General features: G+C 43.2%; 1 pseudogene; it reads left to right on the top strand.

Annotated features, from left to right (window-relative positions):
* THAP12P6 (THAP domain containing 12 pseudogene 6) lies at window positions 8,201-11,324 on the top strand (annotated as a pseudogene).
* Window positions 11,325-18,871: the final 7,547 nt, after the last annotated feature.

Consider the following 18,871-nt stretch of genomic DNA (forward strand, 5'->3'; position numbering starts at 1 on the left):
TTGGCCAGCTCTTTGTACGTACATGCCTGTCCCTCATTGGGTGAGATCTTCAGGGGCAGGATTGCAGCAGAACCTCATGCGTGAGGTGGCTCCTGTTTTAGCCAAGGGAAATTCTCTAGAGAAGAAGGCAGCTGAAATTGTTATCCAATACTCCCAGCAGCTGGAGTACAGATGCATGAGCTTATAGAGTGGATTTGGGCAGGAAACAAAAAACGTTCACTATGGTCCACGCTTTGTATTGCTGAGATCTTTTGCTTCTCATGTGAAATTTCTCCATCTGAGCAGTTTCTAATCCCAATTTCTGGGAAATTTTTAAAAGACAAGGGTATTGGGACAAACTACAGCCCCTGTTGCTGCAGCTGGTTCCAAGGCCATAACTGATACTCATTATCTCCCTCCTGCACTACCCTTTCTAGATTCCCCTCCACCTCAGCTAGCACTTCTGCTGGTGCAGGTGGCTTGACTGATGGATTGAACCAGGCACTCATCCCTGAGGGGTTCAGACCCTGATTATCATGCTTTTACCAGGCTACGGTGGCTGTACTTATTCATTTACAGTTACAACTAGGCACAGGAATACCAAGAAATGCCCCCATTGGATCTCCTGAGTACCCAGTGCATTCCTCTCTGGTCTAATTATGTAGCATCAGCCTCCACCTTGTTCTGATGGTTTGCTTGCAGGTCTTCCAACATTAAGAGCCCACAGTGATCAGAGAGCAGCCATAGCTTTCAGTTTAGTGGGACTCTTACTGTGTCCTATGATGAAAGCATCCCACCTCTGAGTATAGGACCTGATTATCCCTTGATCACTGGATCCATGTATTCTATCTACTGTGGACACAGCACCATATACCAGCCATTGGTTTAAGGTGTATATTTGCATTATCCTGAAGGATAATGCTCCAGCCTCACAAGGGGTTATTTCCAAGGTGGAATTTCAGCTATGCCTTCCATAGGCCATTGCTCCACTCTATCAATTTGATAGCTTCCAAGTGGTATGGTATGTGGTATGACCAGTGGATCCTCTGGTCAGGTGCCCAACACTGTATCTTCTTGCTGGAAAGTGAGACCCTTGGTCTGAGGCAGTGTTATGTGAGATCCTGTGTCAGACTGTCTGACATTCTGTAAGTCCTTCAGTAGTGGTACTGGCTGAAGCACTGCAGGCAGGAAAAGCAAACCTGTACTGGGAATATATGTCAAACCCAGTCATGATGAAATGGGACTCTTTCCAGGCTGGAAGGATCCATTGTAATCAACTTGCCACCCGGTAGCTGTTTGGCATTCTTGAGCACTCAGTGTTGGTCTCTGCTGCAAACAGGTCAGACATTCAATAGCAGAAGTAGTTTTATCAGCTTTGGAGAGAGTCCAAGCTGTTGGGCCCATGCATAGCCTCCACCTCTGCTACCATGGCTACTCCCTCTATGGGCCCCTTGTGCGAGAACTGGGGTGGCCATAGACAGAGGCTGCCTGATATCTGCTGGCCTAGACATCCTGTCTACACAGTTGGTTGATGCCTCTTCTGCAGTGGAAACTTTCTAATGGGCATTATGTACTAAAAGGTCCTTACACTATGTGCCCTCTCCCATAAGTGTATTTACCTGCCTATTCTCCAGCCTTTCCCAATCTTCCTTCTTCCAGGCCCTTGACCAACAAGCGAAGCTAACATTTGTATATGGGCAACATACTTCTATGTCCAAAGTCGATGACTAAATGCACTGCTTGAAGCTCTGCCAAATGTTATGCTTCCCCTTTCATCTCTTTCAGAACCACCCCTGAGTGGGGCAGCAGTGCTGCAGCAGGTATTTCCAGCTTGCATCCACACCCAGCTGACCATCTAAGATCCAAGCTTGGATTTTTTTCTTTCATTGTCAACTGTTCATGGGGAACTCCCCTGCGGCCATAGCTATGAGTTTAGGGAGAGGCGTTGGTACAACAGTAGCAGTTGACATGGGGGTCTCAGCCACCTATTTGTGCAGCTCACTCATGCTCTCTGGATTTGCTTGGATCTAATTGCAGACCTACTGGATTCCTTACAGGGGATTGCTGCTGCACCCAGCTGACCTTATGACACAGAGAGTCTGACAGAATCCAACTTATGTTCACTCTGTGTCTCATGGTCACTTAGTGTCCCATGGTCAGATGCTCAGTTTCTACCAGGGCCCAGGATCATGACAGAGCTGTTTTTCAAATGGAGTATAGTTCTCTGCAGCAGATGGCATGGCCTTGCTCCAGGATCCTGGGGTCTGTGCTGTGACTCGCCTATTGGGGCTTGCCAGAAGTACCACGTGGCATCTTTCTTTACAACAGACACCTCTAGTACCATGGGATCTGCTGGCTCACAGAGTCCAAGTGGCAGGTCTGCTTGTACCAAAGAATGTACCTACTATACAGCCCTTTATCACCTGAGCTTCACTAACAGCTAGCAGCTTTCCAAGTCACCTGATAAATATATTGCCAAGTACAGTGAATATGCTGCCTTCAAAACCCAGAGGCCTACCAAGTATTCTGCTTTTCTTCTTGGTGGTAGGAATTCAGGCTACAAGAACTTGTCTTGTACTTTGGAGGGGATGTTCCAGCTTACCCCAGACCACTGGATCTTTAAAAACTTCACTGATGAGGCAGGCCTCTGAATCTTGTTAGCCTCTATCCTCTACCTTGTAGAGAACATATTTCTTCCCCCCACCATTTAAATCATTCTTTTTATTTGAGTCAATATGTCCAAAAAAATTTTTAACATTCAATTATCATGAAGAAATACTAAGGAGATACTTTGCACCCTTTTTTGGGACTAAGCCTCTGAAGTCCGTGTGTCTACAACACTCATGAAACGTGACAAGGACCTGCTGCTTCTCAAGCACCCAACACCACACATGGCCACCACGGTACATGGCTGGGTTCAGTGTCCGGCTGCCCTGCGGAAAGGCTGGGGCCTCTGGCCCAAAGCTTGTGACCCCTCATCTTTTCCACTGTGGTGCCTCTGGCCAGGCTTTACCCTACCCAGGGAACGACTCTACACCACCTCTGTGAGCCCAGTGCTATCTGTCCAGACCCAGGGCCAAGGGCCCCCTCCTAGGGCCCTTCCCTGAGACTCATGGGAAACAGCCCAGCCCCCCTCAAAGCAGGGGGACAGGAGGAGTTGCTATGTACCCACGGGCGCCCATCCCTCCGGAAGCTCTCAGGGAGGCGGCCAGCAGGGATTCACCCTCCCCTCCCCTAGCACCCCAGCACCTAGCAGGAGGGTAGCTCTCTGGGGGCCACATGTCCAGCAGTCACATGTTTCAAGGGTCTTGGAGGCAGGCCCAGGCTCCCTGGGGTTGGGCGGAGGCAGAGGAGGTATCTGGGTTGGACTACATGTTGATTTTGGTCCGAGACACATAGTTGCCAACGGTGCCTTGCCCCTGCATGGGGACCCCCTGCGAGGTGGGTCCCGTGTGGCTGTAGCCGGGCCCTGTGATGCTCATGGAGGTTGTGGGCAGCCTGCTCTGCTGCATGGACACGTGGCTCAGATCTGGCCCTGCATGAGGGAGGAGGGCAGCAGGCTTGTGCTGATGGCGCCACTCAGGCTGCCCTGAAAGTGAAGGGATCTGACGCCCAGGTTCATGTTCTGCCTGAGCTGAGCGGGGAGCAGGGACTGCATGTGGAGAACATATTTCTTACCAAGGCATATGGAGTACTTGCCATTTCTTGCTTCTAATATCTAATTAACATGGTGTCATAAATATTGGAGACCAGTGCGATGTTCTGCAGGATGCCCAGGTTGTCCAAGTCCCTTTGGACTATATTATATGACAGAAAGCAGGATAATTAACATTGCCCTGGCAAATGAATATCACGTCCATACCACGTGGATAAAAACTGCTTCTGATCTTTCTTCCTGGTGGATATAGAAAAGAACACATTTACAGATGGATAGCGATTAGGATAGTGCAAAAGTAAAAGTAATGGCAAAAACTGCAATTACAAGTAATGGCAAAAACCGCAATTACTTTTGCACCAGCCTAATACATACATGTACCAAGGCTGTAGTAATATGTTCTAGTAAAGATACCAGATCTTACAAACCAGCTGCAATGGGGCCAATATTTGGCTAAGTTCTTGGTAGTCCACTGTCGTACACTGTGATCTAACCAGTGTTTCTGAGGTCATACTGGCTAATTAAATAGGGTTATGACAAAGAGCACCATCTCTGCATTCTTGAAGTCTTTGAGGATGGCGCTTATGTCTGCCATTCTCCGGGCCTGCAATACTCTTCTTGGTGGGAGAGGGTCTGTTTCAAGGATTACTATTGGAGTTCCTACTAAAATAGCTCTAGTTCCACAGCTCAAGGAACCAATGTGAGGATTCTGCCGAGTGCTAGGTATTTCCATTCCCCGTGAAGGAACCAGAGAAATAGCCACTGGTGGAATCCACAGACTCAGTGAATCTGTTTTAGATGGACCTGGGCCAGACCTTCAGTTATCACCTGACTCTCAGTCAGTCTTTCCTCATAATAATGCAGCCTCTCTTTCAGTCAATTGGTTCCGAGTCTGAGAAATGGCTCAGGTCTGGAAACTGGACAAGAGATCATGACTTTCCACTGGGGTGCCTGACCTCAGCCTCCTGCTAACCTATTATTAATTGCAGGTTATCTTCTATTTATATGCCTTTAGCACTATTTTTTTCTGTTGCACTATTCTCCTACCCATCTTTCTTGTTCCTAGGAACACTATATTCGATTAGTCCTCTCCATAGGCCCCCAAAGGTTAGTCCCCCGGCTGACATCCTGACCTGGCTGCCCATTACAGTAATTAAGTGGTTTTAATGGTTAAGTGCTTCTGATGGCTAAGTGGTGTCACCTGGCCTCTGCTATTCTGGAACGCTCTAATCTCCTTTGCTACCAGGAAGTCTAGCTCTGTAACAGCAATGCTTATCATCAGCCTCAGCTGCAGAGGGCAGCTTCGCAATGATGCCAGTATCCCTTTCACCACTGAGTTTCTTCCTCCATTAGTTTCCTTGGAACCTCCCGAGGAAAGTAATCACTGGTAGACTTCCTGGTGTTAGACGGTAGATCTGTTTCAGCATGCCCACTTCCCTGAGCCTTTTGACCTCTTCCTCCACAGCCTGCCGTGGCAGTTCTGGCCTCTCCACTTCATTTAACGTAGGCCGCTTTTCCCCCAAGCTTCCAAGAGTCATCCAGCAGCATAACAGAACCATCCCTGAGGCAATTTCCAGGGAATTATTATTATTATTATCATTATTATTTACCCTCATGTTCTCTGTGACGGTAACTTTCCAGGGAATGAAATCCTGTCTTGTGGGCCCCATACCCCATACAAATTCTCCCTTCCCCTGCTTGATATCCTATGCCCCTTGGTCCAGCACCTCGTAGTCCCCTCCCAGGCATTCTCCCTCTTTTGCTGGTATACATTATCCATGTCCAGTAACACTTTGGCTTGTAGCCCCTTTCCACTCAGCACAGCAAGCATTACCCCAATTGAGTCATGATGAAGCGTGACCCCAGTTTTGGTCTGGTGTCCAAAAGTGAAAGGTGGAAGGAGGGAAAACATTGTCATATAAGGGTCCGTTTCATTCGAAACTTCTGCATAGCAAGGAAAGGAGGGCATTCTCTTTTAGCAATGGGAGCGGATCACTTCTGCAGGCACATTGGTTTGGTGGACTCTGGAGGTCAAATGCTGCATCTATCTACCCAGCAATGAGATATAGCCTTATTGCACAGTTCAGAGTCCCACCCTACCCTTGCAGGGCTCTGCCTTTAATGAAGGAGATCTGCTTTGACTGAACATTAAGCCTTCACTGTAGTTCTTTGTTACAGAAAAATGTTGGGCTGTCCTGCAGCTGCAGGTGATGAGAGTCTCTTGCAATGCTGTCTAGCAGGCCCTCTGTCTCTCACACTGCACTTTTCATTCATGATTAGCTGACCTGAGCCTGTCATTTCCTCTCTTAAGCACATAATCGGTGACCAGCAGCAGCCATCCAATTCTACGGTCCCTTCAATTACTATTTTCCAATATCTCCACAATGCCAGGGACATAGCACCAGCCACTGCATTCCCTTTCACCCGCATCATATTCCAGCCCACCACAGGTGAAAGGCAGCCTGGGCAGGTAGGCTGGGAACTGATGATACTCCACCAAGGTCTAATGATCCATTGTCTAGTAGATGATCCAACTCCAGAAGTCCATCCTGCTTCCTGAAACTCCTCTGGCACTAACTATCTTAGTTGGGACTACCTGGAAACTGGGCCTGAGTCAGTGATTTATCATGAAGTACTCTTCAGGAGAGACCTTTCAGTAGGGAGGGAGGAAGAACAGGGAAGGGGAAAGAGCTGAACAAGAATTTGCCAAAGACTAGCCTGAGCTTAGGCCTTTTATTTGGAAAAACCTACCCAATCTCCCTTTGCCTGGCTAACTCTTTTAGGAGTCATAGCTCTTATAGCTCCTTTTGGACAAGATTCGCTGACCTCATCGGCCTTGGCTAGGTTTTCTGTCTATGTGATCTTACAGTAACCTGCAGTAACCTGTATCTTTCATTTATCAGATGGTATTATAATTTCCTTTCTACTTTCTACTTGTTTAAGGAAAGGAATTTTCCAAAATACATACAGTACTCCCCTCTCTAAGGATCTCAGTATGCCTTAGGGTGAGGGGAGGGATAGGAAAGGATACATATGTACTCACACATACATACACAAATATACACTTTTAACTTCCCAGGTGATTATATTATATTTGCAGCCCTACCCTAAACCCTTTAATATTTACTAGCCCAGTGGTTTTCAATGTTGGCTACATATTAGGATCCTCTAAGGAGCTGTTAAAACTACTGATGCATGGGCCTGATTCCCAAAACATGCAGAATTGATTGGTCAGGTATGGGGCCTGGGCATCAGTGATTTTTAAATTTTTATTTATTTTTTGAAATGGGGTTTTGCTTTTGTTGCCCAGGCTGGGTGCAATGGTGTGATCTTGGCTCACTGCAACCTCCACCTCCCAGGTTCAAGCGATTCTCCTGCCTCAGCCTCCCAAGTAGCTGGGATTACAGGCGCCTGCCACCATACCCGGTTAATTTTTGTATTTTTAGTAGAGATGGGGTTTCATCATGTCGCCCAGGCTGGTCTCAAACTCTTGACCTCAGGTGATCCACCCACCTTGGCCTCTCAAAGTGCTGGGATTACAGGCATAAGCCACTGTGCCCGGCCATCAGTGATTTTTTTTAAAAAAAGCTCCCAGATTATTCTAATATGCAGTTGAGATTGAGAACCACTGGACAAGACTATGATGTCCATGGTGGTAGATTTTTCGTCTTACTCCTCTAGATATTTCCAGGGCCTGCCTCAGTATTTGTAGTAGGCAGATAATAAATATGGAATAAATGAATAAGTGATTGTAAAAGGTAGAGAGATAAGTGCATTTTTCCCTCATGATGTCATAAGCTGACATTTAATATCAAGTCATATTTATAAATATAATTGACCTGAGCTAATTTTTCACTTTAGTGATCACAAACATCCCTGAGAGTATGACCCACAGGGAACACTCCCGTGGTCTCAAATAGCTTCAGGTAAGATCCCAGACACTCCTCAACTTTCCTGGCTTTCAGCTTTCAAAAGTAATTATCTCTGCCTTGTGTACATTAAATGGAGGTCAAAAGTTACCAAACTAGGAGCCGGGCAGGGTGGCTCATGCCTGTAATCCCAGCACTTTTGGAGGCCGAGGTGGGCGCATCACCTGAGGCTAGGAGTTCAAGACCAGCCTGGCCAACATGGTGAAACCCTGTCTCTACTAAAAATACAAAAAAATAGCCATAGCCAGGCATGGTTGTGGGTGCCTGTAATCCCAGCTACTTGGGAAACTGAGGCAGGAGAATTGCTTGAACTCGGTAGGCAGAGGTTGCAGTGAGCTGAGATTGTGCCACTGCACTCCAGCCTGGGCGACAAAAACGAAACTCTGTCTCAAAAAAAAAAAAAAAAAAGTTACCAAACCAGGACTAGGAGCAGTGGCTCACAGCTGTAATCCTAGTACTTTGGGAGGCCGAGGCGAGAGGATTACTTCAGCCCAGAAGTTCAAGACCAGCCTGGGCAACATAGTGAGACCCCCATCTCTATTTATTTTTAAAAAAAAAAGTTACCAAACTAGTTTTAGCTTCTCTTTTGGTGCACAAGCCCTGCAGAGCTGGCCGTGCTACCTCCCGAGGCAGTGTGGGGCCACAGTGCAGAACTTCTGTGGTGTCCCCACCTGTATGCGGAAGAGCACATGGTCCAACTTGGTCTTCTTCAGGTTCCCACAGGATCCATCCAGATGCGCAAAGTAGGTGGAGAAATGTCGGAGAGCAGACCTATTAGATAAAACATCTAATTAATTAAATACACATTCTCAATTAGGTGCCAACCATTTCTGAGTCCTCTACCATCTGTAGAGCTAGTCTTAATAGAAAATCTTTGAGATAATGCAATCCCAGCAATATTTGATCTTTTTTTTGAGACAGAGTGTTGCTCAGTCACTCAGGCTGGAATGCAGTGGCATGATCTTGGCTTACTGCAACCTCCACCTCCCGGGTTCAAGCGATTCTCCTGCCTCAGCCTCCTGAATAGCTTGGATTACAGGAGCATGCCACCAGGCCCAGCTAATTTTTGTATTTTTAGTAGAGACAGGGTCAGGCTGGTCTCGAACTCCTGACCTCATTGTCCACCTGCCTCAGCCTCCCAAAGTGCTGGGATTACAGGCGTGAGCCACTGTGCCTGGCCCAGTATTTGATCTTACCACTCATTTGAACAATCCACATAGTAGACACAGAAAATGAATAAAAGAATTGAAGAAAGATGAAATTAGAACACTGAAACAGAAAAAAGTTGATGAAACTTCTGAACAGGAATGAAAACATAAAGAAACCAACAACAGCAGAGTTCAGAACCCCAGGGCAGTAGAAGCCAGCCAAGGGAAGGATGTGGACATTTTGCCTCTAACCCCTAAAGAGAAAGAAAATAAAGAACACCTAAAATCTCCATTTGAAATGTTGATTTTGTTGGAAAAACAAAATATACCTCTGGATAGATGTGAGACTGATGAAATGCCAGAAGGTCTCTTTACTCCCGGTAACATCGAAGTACTGCTGGAGTACAGATAAATTCTGGTGAAGAGGATTTTGTTTGTTTGTTTATTTGAGACGGAGTCTCGCTCTATTGCCCAGGCTGGAGGGCAATGGCCCGATCTCGGCTCACTGCAAGCTCCGCCTCCCGGGTTTGCGCCATTCTCCTGCCTCAGCCTCCCGAGTAGCTGGGACTACAGGCACCCGCCACCACGCCCGACTAATTTTGTTTTCGTATTTTTAGTAGAGACGGGGTTTCACCATGTTAGCCAGGATGGTCTCGATCTCTTGACCTCATGATCCGCCCGCCTCGGCCTCCCAAAGTGCTGGGATTACAGGCGTGAGCCACAGTGCCCGGCCAAGGTGAAGAGGTCTTGAGAAAGTGTTTTGAGACGACAGCCATGAGCACTTTTTTTTTTCTGAAATACAACCAAATCAGATGCTAGAGTCTGTGAGATTCTAGAGGCTGCTAGAGATCTGTGGGAGCTGCATTTGGGAAGAAACCCTCAGGGACTTGAGAGACTCACACTTCTTTTCCATTATCACTGACATAGCCGGGGAAGATCACCTACAGTGTTGGTGAGGTTTGTTGATGAATCTCATGACCTGGGAGTGGAATCTGTGGGCTTCCCACCTTATGAGGCAGATGCAGAAATTTTGGCTGCGAAATTTCACACTGAAAGTTACAAGTGGGCACTAAATATGGAATATTGTTATGGCCAGATTTACATTATGTCTGGTGGATTTTCTTCTAAAATGGAAGTTGTTTGCTTCTAGACTTTTGAAGAAAACCCCTCAAGCTATCTACATACTCTGCTCTTCCTGTGCCTTAAGTATGTGGTTGGCAAAATCAGTGCCTGTTATGGGAGCAATTGAGGAACAAATGCTATAACTTTTCCTATAACAATTGTTATAGGAAAAGTTGAGGAAGTTTGTTCTTTTTTCCATTGTTGGCTGCAACTGCTTTTAGAATTTGGCAATGTAATTTCTGTTCTTTTTCAGAACAGTGAAGAAAAGGGTAAAGGACTGAACGAAATTTGCCATTCTCAGTGGACAGGCAGGCATGATGCTTTTGAATTGTAGTGGACCTCCTGTAAGCACTTGTTTTAGATGGTATAAATAGTGACCCAAATACTAGATGGAATAACTGTATAGCTGGCCAAGCATTTGTACTCTGTAGTATAGTAGCAGATTTTGATTTCACTGTTATCATTATTGTTCTTTAAAGTCTCCTATCTTTTACAAGAGCCTCTGGGGAAAATTTCTGAGGGCAAACCTCTGATTTCTTCTTTGCAGCTAATAGCTTGACTGCTGTACTGCATGCACTCAATGAAATGATGGAAAATATTGAAGTTCATCATGAGTTTTGGTTTGAGGAAGCCACAAATTTGGCAACCAAACCTGATATTCAAATGAAACTCCCTGGGAAATTCCACAGAGCTCAGCAAGGCAACTTGGAATCTCAACTAACCTCAGAGTTACTGTAAAGAAACCCCAAGTGCTCCAACAGTGCAACACGTTCTTCAGGAGCTGAAAGGTATATTCTCAGAACAGCACCTCAGAGCTCTTAAATGCATATCTCTGGTACCATCAGTCATGGGATAACTCAAACTCAATATGTCAGAGGAACACCATGTACAGAAGTGACTTACTGGATCCCGACATGCTCTCAGCTGAGCTTCATTGTTGCAGAGTCAAATGGAAACACAGAGCAGAAGGTATAAAGCTTCCATCCCCATTTATGAAGCCCTCAATCTGCCTGACATCAGGCAGATGTGTAGGCATTGATGTGTATGCATCGATGAAGGTCTCATGTAGTCTTCCTGTGATAAAGGTTGAGAATGAGTGCTATAAAAATGGACAAAAGCATTTCAAAGTGTATTTGATGAACACGTTGACTGACTAAAGATCGAGTAACTTGGCTTTGCATAACATAAATTTTAATATAAAACATGATCTGGATTTAATGGTAAACACATATATCAACTCTATACAACTAAGTCAGAGCTTCCTACAGATAATTCAGAAACTAGTTAAAATACCCAAGAGACTTTAAAAATAGGGCTTCTCTTATAGTTGATATTTGAAAGAAAAGCTGTAAGGTGTATGTAGGCCACTTAATCACTGAGTATCTTTGTCTATAGGCCTCCCATTGAATACTTTAGCCATTGATAATCTGCCAATTTGAAAGGGCCCTGTTTGAACTCTCCTGTTTTGGGGACCTATCTGTTCTTCCAGAAAGTGACACTGAAGTTGCCAGGTTTCACTATACATGAGCTCTGCTAGTAGCATTCTTGAATTGTTTTAATTGTCATTTTAGACATGGTATTTATTATCACCATGGATCCAATTGTCGAGTATTGAGCTATCAATTCTTCCAAGAAATAAATGTTGAAGAGGTGTGGGAGGAAGGAATAAATTTTATAAAATGTTACAATGAAGCTCATGATTGATCTGTGACTAGTAGGAATTTTAAGTGTATAGCTAAAAATCCATAATGGAAAGTAAAGGGAACTACCAGACAGAGAAACGTGTGAGTTTGCCAAACAAGAATTTCAGTGTAGATTTTGTTTTTACCAAATGAACTTAAAGGAACAAGTTATAGTGAAAGTTTGAATGGAAGAGCCCACCATTGTTGTTCCACATTTGGTTGTGGCTGTCTGCATTCCTTTGTTGAGGCTACATCTTCATAAGCTTTTTATCAGGTGCATGTTCAACACTTGTGTTTCATGGTCAAGACAGAATCAGAGGCCATGGATACTGACAACTGACATGTCTGTTTTCTTCTGTCTTTTTCAATGAGTATATCTACAGCCTTGTCTTGATTTTTTTTTTTTTTTTTTTTTTGAGTGATAGGGCCTTGGTCTATTACCCAGGCTGGAGTGCAGTGGCGTGATCGAGGCTTACTGCATCCTTGACCTTGTGGGCTCAAGTGACCCTCCCTCCACAGCCTTCCAAGTAGCTGAGATAACACGCATATGCTGCCATGTCTGGATAATTTTTTTTTTTTTTGTAGAGATGAGGTCTCACTATGTTGCCCAGGATGATCTCAAACTCCTGGGGTCAACCAATCCTTCTGCCTCAGCCTCCCAAAGTGTTGGGAGTATAGTCATGAGCCACCATGCCCAGCCCTCATCTTGGTTTATAAGCAAAACCTGAAAAATCTACAAAAAATAAGTATATGGTGGTTTGCCTAGAAATAATGCAGAAAATATTGCTATTATTTTCAGTGAAGAAAGTCAATATTGTATTGTTTATTTCACTGTAAATAAAATACAAATTTTCTCTTTAAAAAAGTTACCAAATTTTGCTTAGACTTATAAAACACAGCCCTGGCAAAAGAGTTTAAGATTAAAGCATATCCATTTTACTAAAAGAGACATTAGAACAGGGATGTACAATTTTGTATGAAGGTCAATGTTAGTGAAAACAGAATAAACATTTATAAGGACCCATCATGTTCCAGACAGCGTACCAGCTATTGCATAACAGCCAGTGAGGCACAGTATACAAAAGGAACTCAGCAAGTATCATGGGATAGTCATCTATCTAATGGAGTAGGCATCGAGCAGAAGGCAGGTGGGAATAGGAATACCTCCTGTGCAAGTAGTGCACATGTGCCTTGTTAAACCATCTTTTAAAATATGAAAGATAGGCCAGGCGCACTGGCTTGCACCTGTAATCCCAGCACTTTGGGAGGCCGAGGCAGGAGGATCACTTGAGGTCAGCAGTTTGAGACCACCCTGGCCAACATGGTGAAACCCTGTCTCTACTAAAAATACAAAAATTAGCCAGGTATGGTGGCACGTGCCTGTAGTCCCAGCTACTTGAGAGGCTGAGGGAGGAGAATCGCTTGAACCCGAGAGGTGGAAGTTGCAGTGAGCCAAGACTGTGCCACTGCACTCCAGTCTGGGTGACACAGCGAGTCTCCATCTCAAAAAACAAAAAAAAAACAACAAAAAAAAGAACACCAGGCACGGTGGCTCATGCCTGTAATCCCAGCACTTTGGAAGGCCAAGGCGAATGGATCACATGATGTCAGGAGTTTGAGACCACCCTGGCCAACATGGTGAAACCCTGTCTCTACTAAAAATACAAAAATTAGCCAGGTATGGTGGCGTGTGCCTGTCGTCCCAGCAACTTGGGAGGCTGAGGCAGGAGAATCACTTGAACCCAGGAGGTGGAGGTTGCAGTGAGCTGAGATTGTGGCACTACACTCCAGGCTTGGTGACAGAGCAAGATCCTATCTTAAAAAAAAATTAAATATGAAACATAACATATCTGGAAGAGATGCAACCGAACTGGCTGGGAATGGGGAGAATAGGTGCAAGAACATAAAGCTGGAGGCACAAGTTTGGCATGTGTGAGAATAAAGAGAAAAAGAACAAAAAATGAGGCATGAAGCATAGTTCAGAAAGCTCAGTTTGTAACTGGCATCCATCTGTGTCATTTTTTATTAATGCTTATTGTTTATTTCAAGAGAAGTCACGGATTTCAAAGGCATTAGGCTAGACTGGCCAAAACTCTTCCAGGGAAGAATTATTATCATTATTATTAGATACAATTTGCTGAATGTCTACTATATGCCAGGCCCTGCACTGAACCCTTTAAATACAATCTCTCTAACCTGTACAACAATCCTACAATCTTGGCAATATTCCTAGTTAACAAATATGAAAACTAAAGCCAAGTGAGGTTATATATCTTGCACAGGATCCCACAAATTATAAATGGAAAAGCTGCTGCATTACTAAATTTCTGAGAGGGAGACAGATGATTTGAATAATAAAAATATTTTGATCCACTTTTCTTCCCCTCCCTTTGGGTCACTATATATATAAGTAGATCAGACGACTGTAAAATTCAAACATAAAATTTAAGAAGATGTATGAGTTTATAATGTTATTAAAGTAATGGTATTATGTAAACATTCTCAGTTTATAAATAGTACATTTTGTAAATTCATTCCAAAATGCATTGTTTGTAATTTAGAATGCCTGTTCTAGAGACAAAGCAAGCATGGTAGTTTCCAGGCTAGCCTAAATACGGGCATTTAATATGTACTAGATCTAAGTTTTATTTTGTTTTGAGACAGAGTCTTGCTCTGTCGCCCAGGCTGGAGTGCAGTGGCACGATCTCGGCTCACTGCAACCTCCTCCTCCCGGGCTCAAGTGATTCTCCTTCCTCAGCCCCCTGAGTAGCAGGGATTACAGGCATGTGCCACCACATCTGGCTAATTTTTGTATTTTTAGTAGAGACAGAGTTTCACCATGTTGGCCAGGCTGGTCTCAAACTCCTGACCTCAAGTGATCTGCCTGCCTCGGCCTCCCAAAGTTCTGGGATTACAGGCATGAGCCACCACGCCCAGCCTAGATCTAAATTATTAATTGTCCAAATATAGGTTTTACTTCCTGGGATCAGGGGTACATACTATTAAGAAACTATTAAGGGAGGAGTGAGGAAGAAGGAGGAAAGTAGAAGAAGAAGAAGATTTTCTGGCGGTAAACTAGAAATGAAGTTTCTAAACTACAAACTGTCATGTTTCAAAAGTTTGTAAATTGTTTATTGAAACTCAAAAGTTATTTTGTCAAAAAAAAGTACACATGGTGGTTCAGTTTCTAACCAGCCTATAAAGCTTATTAAAGTGGTCATCTGATTGACATTTATTAATTTTTTATTTGATTTGAGCTTCTACTGTCCTTGTTTTTCCTTTTCCTTTTTTCAGCTGTTCTTTTATTATCTGCGTGACCTTCAGCAAATTACCTAACCTCTATAAGCCTCAGTTTCCCCATGTGTAAAATGATGATAACTGTAGTACCTATTGAATTCTGAGGATGAAATTAGTTAATGCCTTGCACATAGAAAATATTCAATAAATAATAGCCACTATTACTATTACTCTTATTATATTACTATCATCTGTCTTAGGTTGGCTACCTGCCCCCACTCCCCCTATAGGCAGAACCTTCAACAATAATTTATGTAAAAATGATTTATTTAGGAAGTGTTCCCCGGGAAAACCAGTAAGGTAGTGGGGAATGGAACTGAGAAGGAAATGAGCCTAAATGAGGTATAATCTAAACTGACTCAAGCCCAGAGGCGACACAGGAGACAGTAGGTCACCCCAGTTGTGTCCCAACCAGGGGCCAGGAGAGCTGGGGTACTCATAGTCATTAAGTTAAGGTGGGAGTGGCTTAATTCCCAAACGCTTCAGCTTTGTCTGTAAAAAGTAGAGTCCAGGTTGGGTGCAGTGGCTCAAGCCTGAAATCCCAGCACTTTGGGAGGCCAAGGTGGGTGGATCACTTGAGATCAGGAGTTCAAAACCAGCCTGGCAAACATGGTGAAACCCCATCTCTACTAAAAATACAAAAATTAGCCAGGTGTGGTCGTGCACACCTGTAGTCCCAGCTATTCAGGAGGCTGAGTCATGAGAATCGATTAAACCCAGGAAGCGGAGGTTGCAGTGAACCGAGATGGCACCACTGCACTTCAGCCTGGGCCACCGAGCGAGACTCTGTCTCAAAAAAAAAGTAGAGTCTGTTCCAGTTGCCTCAGGGCAGCCCCGTTAAGAAATAAGGAAATTTGGCCAGGGGTGGTGGCTCATGCCTATAATCCCAGCACTTTGGGAGGCTGAGGTGGGTGGATCATGAGGTCAAGAGATCAAGTCCATCCTGGCCAACTTAGTGAAATCCTGTCTGTACTAAAAACACAAAAATTAGCTGGGCTTGGTGGCACATGGCTGTATTCCTAGGAGGCCTAGGCAGGAGAAACTCTTGAACCTAGGAGGTGGAGGTTGCAATGAGCAGAGATCGTGCCACTACACTCCAGCCTGGAGACAGAACGAGACTCCGTCTCAAAAAAAAAAAAAAAAAAAAAAAGAGAGAAATAAGGAAATTTAAGAGGCTAGGTCACAGCACTGAATGGGCATCTGCTATATCATCATCACCGTCATTGTCATCATTATCATCATCACCTCCCGTAAAACACACAAATGGCACATAGTGTGAAAGGCATTGTGTTAGGTTCTAGGGATTTTTTAAAAGTTGTAAAATATCGTCCCTTTCCTTCTACACCTTGAAATCCTTTTGAAGAGTCAGGAAGAACACACGAAAGTAAAATAAGTATATGCTAAGAGCCAAATAAATGTGAACAAGGTATATGCTATGGGAACTAATTGGCACTGGGTGGTAAAGAAAGATCCCATAGTACTCTTTGAGTTGGATCTATGAGTTTGGGTCACTATATGACACTTTGAATTGAGATCTGTGACCTATCCTTTTGGCCACTTTGAGTTGGATCTCAAAGAATGGGTAGGGGTTAGACAAACAAAGAAGAAAATAGTAATATTAATGGGGAAAGCAGTGAATGCTGTAGGGAGAATTAATAAACTTCTAATGTAGTGCTTCTAAGCTCTGAATTCATGTTAAAATCACCAAGAGCCTTTACAAATCCCAGTGCCCACCTGTAACCAGTTCAATTACATCAGGATTGCTGTTTTCAGATCTTATAAAGTCTCTAATCCATTTCAAGTTAACTTTTGTATGTGGTATAAAACACAAGTCCGACTTCACTCTTTTGCCTGTGGATATCCAGTTTTCCCAACACCATTTATCAAAGAGATTTTTCTTTCTTCATTGTGTATTCTTCACACCCTTGTCAAAGATTAGTTGACCATATATGTGTAAGCTTATTTCTGGGATTCCTATTGTGTTTCATTGACTTATGTGTACGGTTTTATGTCAATACCATACTGTTTTGATTACCATAGCTTTGCAATATAGTTTGAAATCAGAGACTTTGATGCCTTTAGCTTTATTTTTCTTTGTTAAGATTGCTTTGGCTATCTGGCATCTTTTGTGGTTCCATATAAATTTTAGGATAAAAAGTATTTCTGTGAAAAATGCCATTGGAATTTTGATAGGGATTCCATTGAATCTGTAGATTGCTTTGGGTAGTGGGGACCCTTTACTGATATTAATTCTTCCAACCCATGGACATGGATATCTTTCCATTTATTTGTGTCTTCAGTTTCCTCCATCAGTGTTTTATAGTTTTTAGTGTATAGATCTTTCATCTCCTTTCTTAAATTTATTCTTAAGTATTTTATTCTTTTTGATGTTATTGTAATTTGGAATTGTTTTTCTTGATGCCTTTTTTGGATAGTTCATCATTAGTGTATAGAAACACAACCGACTTTTGTATGTTGGTTTTGGCGATGGAACGAGACTCCATCTCAAAAAAAAAAAAAACAAAAAAAACAAAGATGAACAAGTTCTGAGGATCTAAGGTACACCATGGGTGGTGACGGATGCATTAATTAATTTGACCATGATAATCTTTATACAACATATACATATATGAAATAATCATGTTACATACCTTGAATATATATAATCTTTGTCAATTAAATATATTAAAATTTTAAGAATGGGGGAAAAGGGATTGCTGGGGGGATTCCCTAGGTAATTCCCAGGGACAACCAAGGTTGAGAACCACTGTTTCATTGTATAGGAAGCAGCCTATGAGAAACTGTTCAGCAGCTATATTGGAAATATAGAAGAGCTCAGATTGTGGAAACCTTAGCTACGTGGAACTAACTAATCTAATTCTAACATGTCTACTGAAATTATAAAACTCCTAGAAGAAAATATAGGAAATAAAACTCCTTGACATTGGTTTTGTCAGTAATTTTTTGGCTATGCCCCAAAAGCACAGTTAACAAGGGCAAAAATAGACAGATGGAATTTTATCAAACCGAAAAGCTTTTGCCCAGCAAAGGAAACAATCAACAAAATGAAAAAGCAACCTATAGAATGGAAGAAAATATTTGCAGGCCATATATCTGATAAGGGCTTAATATCCAAAATATATGAGGAATTCACACAACCCAAAAGCACAAAAACAATCGGATTAAAAGATGGGCACAGGACCTGAATAGACATTTTCCTAAAGAAGACATACAAATGGCCAACAGGTATGTGAAAAGATGCTCAACATCACTAATTCTCAGGGAAAGGCAAACTCACACTAAGAGATACTGCATCACACCTGTTAGGACAGCTATTATCAAAAAGATAAGAGATGACAAGTGTTGTCAAGGGTGTAGAGAAAAAGAATCCTTGAACACTGTTGGTGGGAATGTAAATTGGTACAGCTATTATGGAAAACAGTATGGCAGTTCCTCAAAAAATTAAAAATAGAACTACCATATGATCCATCTATCCCATTTCTGGGCATATACCCAAAGGAAATGAAATCGGTATCTCAAGGAGATATCTGTATTCCATGTTTATTGCATGATTATTCACAATAGCCAAGATAATGAAGATAACCTAAATGTCCATCAATGGATGAATGGATAAAGAAAAAGTGATGTGTGTATGTAAAAGTGGTGTGTATACACACACACATAGAGGAATATTATTCAGCTATGAAAAAGAAGGGAAGGCTGGGTGTGGTAGCTCATGCCTGTAATCTCAGCACTTTGGGAGGCTGAGGCAGGCGGATCACCTGAGGTCAGGAGTTTGAGACCAGCCTGGCCAACATGGTGAAACTCTGTCTCTACCAAAAATACAAAAATTAGCTGGGTGTGGTTGTGGGCACCTGTAATCCCAGCTACTCAGGAGGCCGAGGCAGGAGAATCACTTGAACCCCGGAGGCGGAAGTTGCAGTGAGCCAAGATCGCACCACTGCACTCCAGCTTGGGTGACAAGAGCAAAACTCCCTCTCAAAAAAAAAAAAAAAAAAAAAAAAGGAAAGAAAGAAAAAGAAGGAAATTCTGCCATTT

This window comes from Homo sapiens, chromosome 13, assembly GCF_000001405.40.
Source record: "Homo sapiens chromosome 13, GRCh38.p14 Primary Assembly".
NCBI classification, from domain to species: domain Eukaryota; kingdom Metazoa; phylum Chordata; class Mammalia; order Primates; family Hominidae; genus Homo; species Homo sapiens.